General features: G+C 38.4%; 1 pseudogene, besides 1 other annotated feature; it reads right to left on the bottom strand.

Moving 5' to 3' along the window:
• Positions 1 to 6253: 6253 nt before the first annotated feature.
• On the bottom strand, positions 6254 to 9851 carry WWP1P1 (WW domain containing E3 ubiquitin protein ligase 1 pseudogene 1; annotated as a pseudogene).
• Positions 9562 to 9856: a silencer, noted in NCBI's record as "tiled region #220; HepG2 Repressive DNase unmatched - State 12:CtcfO, and K562 Repressive non-DNase unmatched - State 20:ReprD". NCBI's record gives its function as "represses a minimal TATA promoter and a strong SV40 promoter by Sharpr-MPRA in HepG2 and K562 cells {active_cell/tissue: HepG2 | K562}" and the evidence as "EXISTENCE:reporter gene assay evidence [ECO:0000049][PMID:27701403]".

Genomic DNA, 11321 nt, shown 5'->3' with positions numbered 1-11321 from the left:
TTTTTTTTTTTTTTTTGAGATGGAGTCTCACTCTGTTGCCCAGGCTGGAGTACAATGGCATGATCTCAGCTCACTGCAACCTCTACCTCCCAGGTTCAGGCGATTCTCCTGCCTCAGTCTTCCCAGTAGCTGGGACTACAGGCGTACACTACCACATCCAACTAATTTTTGTATTTTTAGTAGAGATGAGGTTTCGCCATGTTGGCCACCCTGGTCTCAAACTCTTGACCTCAAATGACCCACCTGCCTTGGCCCCCCAAAGTGCTGGGATTATATGTGTGAACTACCTCGCCTGGCTTCCACCATGCCTGGCCTGGATGACTTTTATTTCTTTTTCTTACTTAATTGTTCTGCCTAGGATTTCCAGTATTATGTTGAATAAAAGTGGCAGGAGTGGACATCCTTGCTTGTTCCTGATCTTAGAGGAAAAGCTTTCAGTTCTTCACTATTGAGTACAGTAGTCCCTCCTTATCTGCTGCAGTTTTGCTTTCCATGGTTTAGTTACCTGTAGTCAATCACAGTCCAAAAATAGGCGAGTACAGTTCAATAATATATTTTGAGAGATTGAAAGAGAATATATAAGGAACTCAAACAACTCAATAATAAAAAAACAAATAACCTGATTAAAAAATGGGGAAAAGATTTGAATACACATTTCTCAAAAGAATACATACAAACAACAAACAGGTATATGACAAAATGCTCAACATCACTAATCATCAGGGAAATGCAAACTAAAACTGCAATGAGATATCATCTCATACCTGTTAGAATGTCTATTATCAAAAAAAAAATGATAACAAATGTTGGTGAGGATGTGGAGAAAAGGGAACCCTTCTACACTGTTGGTGGAAATGTTAATTAGTACAGCCATTATGAAAAACAATATGAAGGTTGCTCAAAAAATTAAAACTAGAGCTACCATATAATCCAGCAATTCCACTAAATGAAATTAGTTTCTGCACTCCCACGTTCACTGTGGCATCATTCACCATAGCCAAGCTAAGGGATCAACTTAAGTATTATAATATATCTATCAGTGGACGAATGGACAAAGAAAATGTGGTATATATACACAATGGGATATTATTTAGCTTTCAAAAATAATAAAATCCTGTCATTTGCAACAACAAGGATAAATCTAGAGAATATTATGTTAAGGGAAACGTCAGACACAGAAAGACAAATACCACATGATCTCCCTTATATGTAGAATTGTCAGCCTCATAGACCAGAGACTAGACAGAGGCTAGAATGGTGGTTTCAAGGCACTTCGGAGGAGGTTGTAGAGATGGTCAAAGGCGTAAAATTTCGGTTAGACCCAAAGTTTGTTGTAAAACATGATGGCTATAGTTAACAATGTATTGTATACTTGAAATTGTTAAGAGGGTAGGTTTTAAGTGTTTTCACCACAAAAAAAGTAAAATAATGTGTATGTTAATTAGCTTGAATTGGCCATTCCACAATGTATACATATATCAAAACATCATGTTGTACATAATAAACATACACAACTTTTGTTTGTCAAAATATATTAAAAAGATGAAATACTGCTAACTCTCAGTTAAACCAAAATGAAACATGCTTTTACAACTTTTCTAAATAAAAACAATGAGCTGCTTCCCTTACTTTTCTTTCTTACATTTATTTTTTTCCTGTTTGCAGTACAATTTCTTCTTTCCTTGTTGTTTTAAAGCTGATTATAACTTCCCCAGGTAATTAAGACAATACTGAAAACTTTAAAAGCATGGCTTATCTCATTTCCTAAATGTAGTTACAAATTGTGTAGAATGTTGGTGCAAATGCCCATCTATATTTATTATTTGGCCATATCTTCATTCTATATATTTAAATAAGAATTTGCTAAAAAAAAAAGTGGGGTGAAATTAATATAACTTTTGCATTAGCATTGAGGAGTTTAAATTAAGACTGCAGAGTAAACTGTGGCAACTGGATTGTAAGAAATTCAAAGGCTAAAATGATGTCTTATTCTTATATCATGTACTTTCATAGTATAAAGGAAGTGGTTAATATGTGCTCATTAAATGGAATTAAAAATTTAGTACTGGGAATATTTTCATGATTCCAGATCAGTAGGAGGATATTTCAGATGTGGTATCAGGCTGGGTCTGTTTATAGTAGAAATAAGAGTCTGTCTTTCTAGTGAAAACTAGAAAGAAAAGGTTCTAATGACAGCATTTATCATCCAACAACAATATGTTAGTCATTAAGAAATTACTAGCTTCTTTTGTTTCACTACAATCTCTAGAGGTACAGTGTAATTATCCGTGATTACATATGATAAAGCTGAAACCTCAGAAGTCAAGTGATTTGTGGAAGATCACACAGTGAGTGGAAGAATTAGGACCAAGCCACAGGTCTCTAGCTCCAAATCTTAGGTTCTTAGCACTTGACAAGCTTTTCCCAAACTGTTGTCTCAGGACGCTGATCCAGGGAGTACCTGCTGTGTGCTCCATTATCCTATTAGAAAGTCACGGCCGGGCACGGTGGCTCACGCCTGTAATCCCAGCATTTTGGGAGGCCGAGGCAGGCAGATCACGAGGTCAGGAGATCGAGACCATCCTGGCTAACACGGTGAAACCCCATCTCTACTAAAAATACAAAAAAAATTAGCCAGGCGTGGTGGCGGACGACTGTAGTTCCAGCTACTTGGGAGGCTGAGGCAGGAGAATGGCGTGAACCTGGGAGGCGGAGCTTGCAGTGAGCCGAGACAGCGCCACTGCACTCCGGCCTGGGCAAAAGAGCGAGACTCCGGCGGGGGCGAAAGAGCGACACTCCGTCTCAAAAAAAAACCAAAAAACAAAACAAAACAAAAAAACAAAAAAACAAAAAAAGTCACGGCCTGGCTTGGTGGCTCAGGCCAGTAATCCCAGCACTTTGAGAGGCGAAGGCAGGTGGATCACTTGAGGTCAGCAGTTTGAGACCAGCCTGACCAACATGGTGAAACCCCACCTCTACTAAAAATACCCAAATTAGCCAGGTATGGTGGCAGGAGCCTGTAATCCCAGGCTGAGACAGGAGAATCGCTTGAACCAGAGGTTGCAGTGAGCCGAGATCGCGCCACTGCACTCCAATCTGGGCGACAGAGCAAGACTCCCTCTCAAAGAAAAAAGAAAAGAAAAGAAAGTCACACATATCAGAATATTAAATATGCCAACACATAGATCTGCTCAATTTAGTTTATCTTGGGGTAGAGGATAATAAAATATCAAAATTCATTTTTTAAACATTTAAGAATTTATTTAAAATAACTTAAAGAGTACAGTTGAATTGTTTGTAACTCAAAGGATAAATGCTTGAGGGGATAAACACCCTATTTTTCATGATGTGCTTATGTCACACTGAATGCCTGTATCAAAACATCTCTTGTACCCCATAAATACATATACCAACTATGTACCCACAAAAATTTTAAAAATTAAGAAAAAAATAAGAATTTAGTTAGGCCCATTTTTTTCCTTGTGAAATAAATAGCAATTTTATTTACTTATAAGCTCATAAGTGCTTTTTGGAATGCCATGTCAAACCAAACTGGTCTACATAAACCATTATACTACTTTACTAGAAGGAAATAAAATTCATTTGCTGTTCTTTTATTTGGCTCTCAGTGAAGTATTATATAACCCCTCATATTATGTTAAAACAAAACTGTAAAGAACATAAAAAAATTCTCCTTGCTCTTTGCTTTATATCTTGGGAAATGTTTTGGGTTTCCTCAGTGAGTGTTTTTTGTTCATAGACATGATCATCTGTTATGTGTGTTACAGGAGAAATGAGGTTTAGAATTGATGAGCCAGCCACCCTCCTCCCCATCTTAGAGGTGAGAACTCTGATCCTAGAAAGGTAACAGGACTTGCCAAAAGTCATTGTTGGAACTGAGCTTCTCATCAGGACTTTCATTCCATGTCATCTGCTGTAGTATGAAGTTTTTTGCCTGACCCAACCTAGGATATCGTTAACAATGAGTTCAAGTTCATGTGGGAATTAAGGATATGAGCCTCTTTTAAGAAAATAAAATATGCTGGCCAAGCACACTGGCTCATGCCTGTAATCCCAGCACTTGGGGAGGACGAGGCAGGAGAATTGCTTGAGGCCAGGAGTTCAAGACCAGCCTGGGCAACATAGTGAGACCCTATCTCCACAAAAAAAGAAAAAAAAGAAAATTAGCTGGGTGTGATAGTGCATGCCTGTAGTCCCTGCCACTTGAGAGGCTGAGGCAGGAGGATCACTTGAGCCTGGGAGGTCGAAGATGCAGTGAGCTATGATTGTTCCACTGCACTTCAGCCTGGGTGACAGTGAAGAACGAATGAAGGAATGAACGAATGAATGAAAGTGAGAGAGAGAGAAAGGAAGGAAGGAAGGAGGAAGGAATGAAAGAAGGAAGGAGAGAGAAACAGAGAGAAAAGAACGAAAGAGAGAGAAAGAAAGAAAACAAAAGGAAAGGAGGAAGGAAGGAAGGAGGGATGGAAGGAAGGAAAAAAGAAAGAAAGAAAGAGAAAGAGGAAAGAGAGAGAGAGCAAGCAAGCTAGCTGCTGAGAGGCACAGAAAGACAAATTTTATAAGGACCAGCCCTGAACTGAAAATTTCTACTTCTTTTTCTCCCCTTTCCAGCCAGAACTGCAGGTCACCAGCAAAGGTCACAGGTAGGCAGACAGGGCAGCTAATGATACAGTGGAGGAAAATTCTTTCCTTTTGTTTCAGGACTAATTTGAAAGAACATAGCCATATAATAATATCATGAAATCTTGTACTTTATTTTTGCTGGGTTTCTAATTCAGTTAAGTACTATAGAGATGTATTAAGATTTGGTCTTTTTTCTTGAAACCATTTTGTAAATTTTAAAATAAGTTAGAGAAGTAGAAGTTTAAAATTTCACAAACAAAATTTACTACAAAAACTATCAGGTTTAGATCTCCTAATAGTTTTCCATTGAAATTGCTCTGTTTCTATAAAATGATGAGATAGATTACCTATCAGTAGCTGATACCATCTCAGAATCTTTGAACAAAAACTAGCCCCACTAATAAATGCCTTATTAATTTCAACAAAATGTGACTTCTAAAGCCAAGAAAAATAATTGAAAATACTACACAAATATGTGATAAAAAAGTTATTTCCAAAAAATATGGAATGTATTTAAAACACTGCCAGCATGATATACATGTGTCTGTATCAATGTAATTTCCCTTGCTTTGGTAGTATTATTTGAAATATTTAGCTATCATAGTTTGTTGTTGTTGTTCTGATCCAAAAGCGAAATGAAAATTTAGGTATGGACTAATTTTATGGCAATATGGAATTGATGAGTTATGCTGTTATGTGAAGTATCCATCTGAAATATTAAGAAAAAGAAAGGAAGGCATAATCTTCCTCATTTTTGGAACAGAAGACATTATAATTTATTCCACCTTTCAGTTCTTCCCATTTGGTCAATATTCTATCTATCCATAAGTACTTTGATGCTACCAAATGTATTGTTTTTACCCTTTTTACTATTTTGTGATATCTACCTATGTTGTTTGTTGGTGGTTAATCTTCCCTGCAAGCCACAAAGCACCATAAGATTTTATGGAATACCTACAAAATGGAGGCTTCAGCTCATCTATGTCTTGCAAAGATATAAACATAAGAAAAGAACAGCATTGAATTCCAGAGGCTGATAAATGTCACTTCTTTTTTTTAATATGCTTATTTAATTCAGATAAATAGAACTGTTATGAATTTGAGAGGAATGAAGATATTCAAACACTAACAGAAAATCGTTAGCCTCATATTAGAGCACTCAAATGCTTATGTAACTCTTCAATCCATCTGGCTTCATAAAACCGAAACTTTGAACACAAAACAAGTGGCAGAGTTCACATTACCTTTTATATGTTCCTAGGTATGAAATTGCATCAATTTATTATGAATTAAATTTGAAAAAATCACAGATTTAAAAACAAAGTACAGCAGTGCCTGATTCTTTTTAATTCCACAAATATCTAGCATCTCAAAGTATCATGTAAACAAACTTCTTTGCTGCTCAATGAATCCTTCCAATTTTGATAATAAACTAAATAGTATCAGATCTGGTATATGACTTTCATGTGTAAGTTATGGTTTTATCCATTACTTTGACAATATTACTGATGTAACAGAGAAAGAAAAATTTTCAACTATTTATTTAAAACCAACTGACAGGTTCAAGCACCTGTCTTCAGAAAAGCCAGCAGCATTTTTTTTTTAACATACTCAAAGTAAGATTTGGCCTAAGCCCTTAATACCTTCCTGAACAGACATACAAATAAACACCCTCAGGAGATGTTACACAAGGGAGAGAAGAACATGGAGCAATTTGCACTTTTTCGCCTAGATAATATTAACAAGGTAAAGCAAATCCAGATCTTTATGAATGAACAGCTGTCATGTTTAATACACTTGCAACTCTATAAAACTAGAGCCACTATCACATATGCTTATATAGATACATATGTATTTTTAATAAAGTCTCTCACTTGCTTCAAAATTTAAGGATGATCTTTTTCCTGGTCAATCATTTCAAAGGACAACAAATAAAGTAGAAAAGGATGAAATATGTTTTGCATATTGCTGTGGAAGAATGGAAAACATACTTTGAGAGGTTCAGAAAATTCACTGTACAGAATGAACAGCTTATATACACTATGTGCAATTTTTCTTGGCTGGGGTATTTGAATGCAAGAGATCCTCCAAAATAAGAAGCCACATTCATTCTTGTCCACATCCCTCTGTCTCTTCTATTGCAAAAAGAAGTTTTTCCTTTAGTTGTTCATAACTCTTATATGGTGGTAGATCCAAGAGATTAAAACATGTATGGCTTCTTGGTAACCAAGTATCTTTGCCAACTTTTTCAATGCAAAACTTTTGAGGCCCATTACTTCCCATGAGCTCAGCAAATCCTCCTAGAGATAAACGGCAGGTTCCAGTGACGAACTGCAATAGTAGCATTCTTACTTCATTGTCTGTCTCTTTCACAAACTGCCAGAACCGAATGATTTGCTTGCTGTTTCTTGTATAATGTTGATAAACAGTATTTCTCTGCCAATCTGCCAAGTCAACCTGCTGTGTGCCACACAACGTAACCTCTAATTCTTTTTCATTGAAGTACTGTAGCCACTGATGAGGAACAACTCCATTAAAACCATCAAGGAAAGCTTTGGTCTGTTCTTGTACTCCTCGAGAAAAATGCCATTCTGTCATTAAACCAATATATTCATCTTTGTTCTCCTCAGTCACCAGAATATTGGAAACTCCCAACTTCAGGTCATGTGAAGTAACTTTTCCCCAACTCTCCATGTCAACAGAAAAGTACAGTTCTAAGCCACATTCTTCAATGTTGTTATCTCTTATCCAGATAAGGGAGTTATAAAATTCAGTATCAATAGATTCCAAATCCTTAATAGTAAGTTTTTTACTTAACATATGCTTGTAGAATGGTAAAGAGAAACCAGTATCTATAAGCTTTCCATGAAATAGTGCCATGGCAATAAAACGACCAATGAAACAGTAGTATGAAAGATGGTCTGGATTAATGGTTGATGCTGGATTTATCTGCAGAGAATAGTTGTTCTTCCCCACATACTCAAATAAGCATTACATTGGGTTCAAAACTTCATGTGAAAGCAAGAAAAGCCATTCTCTTGCTAGGCCACCATAATCAAGTCCTTCTTCTCCTCTAAATATTACATATAAGCACCTCCTCAAGTCATAAGGTTTTAATGCCATAATCTGTTGGAAGGAATCTTCAAACAATGTCTGCCGGGACACATTGATCTTTACATGACTGGGTAGTGCATTAGACTGGCACAAATAACGGAAGTGAGCAAGTTTCCGCCTAAAGCTGTGTTCATAATCAATTTGTGGACCACCTTTAGTTATGGATGACTTCCCATTGCAAGGATCTTTGAATGTTGTTGTTCTTGCATTGTGATTAACAAAGTACCTTACACCTTCACGAGTATATCTTATTTCCCAGCCTTCTGGCAGAGGTTCTTCATTCTGTAAGCCTTGAGTTCTTGGATCTTCCCACTGGGTTGTTTTTGTATTACGATTCACAAAGTAAACCCTGTCTGTTGAATCCACTCTTTTTTCCCGGCCTGGTGGCAAAGGTCCATGAGGGTCATTTTCTGCGGCTAACATTGAAGCTGAATAGAGGTATCATTGGTTAAACTGTTGCATAGCTCCCTGAGGTTGGTTCTGCTGAGATTGCCACTGTTCAAAATTTCTGACCCATTCCATGGTAGGCCGCTGCCATGTTGTTCTTCTGGTGTTATGATCCACATAATAAGCTCTTCCACGATCATCAACTCTTCTTTCCCAACCTGAAGGTAAAGGTTGTGGTCTCTCCCGTGTGGTAGTTTGAGTATTATGATCCACATAATAGGTTCTACCATGAGGATATTTTCTTTGTTCCCACCCTGATGGCAAGGTTTCTGTGTTGGCATTCCCAGACTCCTGCTATACTGGATCCATACACCCATCTGGCTGTCTTGATTTGGCTGTTTCAAAAGCAGAACTACTTCCAGAATTAGAGGTGTCAGGGTCTAATATACTTCTAGATTCAGATCCCAATTCTGCACTGGTAGAAGGAATGCATTCATTGTTTTCTGAGGAAGTCAGTATTTCTTGAACTGGAGGATCTTCAACAGTAGTACTAGTGCAATTTGGAGACAAGGCATTTTCTTCAGACACTACTGGAATACCCATGACAGAAGCATTATCAGTTGGTGCAAATGAGGATGATTCTCCATTAACAGTGTCATCGGCAGGCTCAGATGTGAGTAGTTTTGGGGCTGGTGTATTTTTGGGTCTGGCAGCAACCTGAGATGGAGATGAAGGTATGTTGTCTCCATTAACTACATACGAGCAGCATGAGTTTTGGACTAGAGTGCTTGTAGGTACATGATTATCTATTCCATTCGTGCCTTCAATAGCCAACCTGGCAGTTGTCCTTGCTGAAGGCTCTCCATTTTCATGTAAGGCATCACCATTTTGCTGTATTTCTATGGCTGGAGTTGAGCTGCAGTTTGTTATATTTTCTTGCTCAATCACCAATCCATCAAGCACAACTGTCAATTCACCAGTTTGTGCTATGCCATTCTTGTTTTCTAAGGAAAGTTTTAATTGTTCTTTCACTCTTTCCAGTTTTCTATTGTGTATCAACAGAGCTTGTTTCAGATCTGTCGTTGCATTTCCTAATTAAGCATCTGCTTTTAAAGTGTGATGACTCCAAACTCGAAATTCCAATGTAGTCTGTGGCGTAACATTTACAGTTAGCTGTTCATCCCATTTTAGATTAGAAGAACTACTGGATTTTGCTGTTTTCCTAATTTCCTCATCTACAACTACTTCTGTATATATTGCTGTTCCGAACCAGTTCTTTCTTCTCTTAAGTTTGGCACTAGAAACAGTTACCTGTAACTGCAACCTTCCACTGTGGTTATTAGTAGTATCTGACTTTGGTGAGGCAGTGGCCATGTTCCAAAATTCAGCTAAAACTATGTATCAGGAACTGCTAGACACTGGAGATACAAAGATGAGTAAGACACGATTCCCTGTTTCAAGGAGCTCACAACCCAGGCGCGAAGCTTTCGGCTCCCGGCAGCCAGGCGGCCGCGGCACCTGCACCTCCTCCTGCAGTGGGCGCCCTCACCCTTCCGCGACGAAGATCACTATCTCGCAGCAGGTGCGGCGGCGGCAGCCACCCAGGCGTCGGCCCCAGCAGCCCAGGCCGCCAGCAGTCACTGGGTGCCGGCACACCGAGCTCCAGCTCGCCGACACCTGACTCTCCCCCGACCCCCACCCCGGCCCTGATTTGCATTTTTCTGATGATTAGTGATACTGTGTTTGTGGTCCACTTGTATGTCACATTATTCCATCTGTACTTAAATGAGCTCCTGCCGGAAGGAATAGGCACAATTCCTCTTTTACCTGCAGAATATCAAGGGCTTTGGGATTCATGATGTTTTCCTATAAATTGTTACAGAAACAAGTTCTGCTCTGGGCAATATGGAAGACTAGTTTGTATATTTTTATACAAATGAAAATTTATATCAAATCATTATGTATTTAAATTTCATCGGAAGCTAGACGCGATGGTTCACACCTATAATACCAGCACTTTAGGTGGCTGAGGTGGGAGGATTGCTTGAGCCCAGTAGTTCAAGACCAGCCTCGGCAACATAGCGAAACCCCATCTCTACAAAAATTAGCCAGGTGTAGAGGTGCATGTCTATAGTCCCAGCTACTCAGAGGCGGAGGTGGGAGGATTACTTGAGCCCCGGAGTTTGAGGCTGCGCTGAACCGTAATTGCACCATTGCACTTCCATCCTGGGTGACAGAGTAAGACCCTGTCTCAAAAATAAATAAATAGACCGGGTGCGGTGGCTCACGCCTGTAATCCCAGCACTTTGGGACGCCAAGGCAGGCGGATCACCTGAGGTCAGGAGTTTGAGACAAGCCTGGTCAACATGGCCAAACCCTGTCTCTACTGAAAACACAAAAATTAGCCGGATGAGGTGGCGGGCGCCTGTAATCCCAGCTACTAGGGAGGCTGAGACAGGAGAATCGCTTGGACCCAGGGGGAGGAGGTTGCAGTGAGCCGAGATCACTCCATTGCACTCCAGCCTGGGCAGCAGAACGAGACTCTGTCCGAAAAAATAAATAAATAAATAAATAAATAAATAAATCTAATTGAATATATTTAAAACAATGATTTGACAGTTTTATTTTAAAATGTAAATTTTTACATTCTACTGAAAATTATGTCCTTTACAACTATAAAGTTATGATAAAAAATTGAGACATTAACTTTGAAATGTGTGATGGAGTCACATATTTTTACAAAATAGTTTTAGTAAATTTGTGAGCAAAAGTTTGAATACTATCAACCTACATCACATTTAACAAAGTCCTATCCATCAGAATTTGAGAAGAAATGGATGAGAGAAAGCAATGTGAGAGAGTGTGAGAGAGAACCACTATTGACCAAAATTTATTCAAATCATGTGGGAAAATTAAACAAACATGACAATGGAAATTCAAGTTTATAAAATTATTTTTAAATTTGAAGTATATTACTAGGAATGAAAAGAGAGTGGGTTTTGATTTCATTTTCTCTGATCTAAGAAGTGACAACTGAACCATTGGCATTGATCATTATGTCCATTGCTTAGTAGTTGGTAAGTAAGTGGTATTTGAGTCTAACTCACATTGATAAACACTTGCATTATAATTTTCAAACAGAGTAGTGGGCCCTAAGAAATGCATTTTCCACTCTG

Source organism: Homo sapiens, chromosome 3 (genome assembly GCF_000001405.40).
Source record: "Homo sapiens chromosome 3, GRCh38.p14 Primary Assembly".
In the NCBI taxonomy this organism is placed as follows: domain Eukaryota; kingdom Metazoa; phylum Chordata; class Mammalia; order Primates; family Hominidae; genus Homo; species Homo sapiens.
Note: the sequence above shows the minus strand (reverse complement) of the source record. Positions and strands in the feature narration are given on the sequence as shown.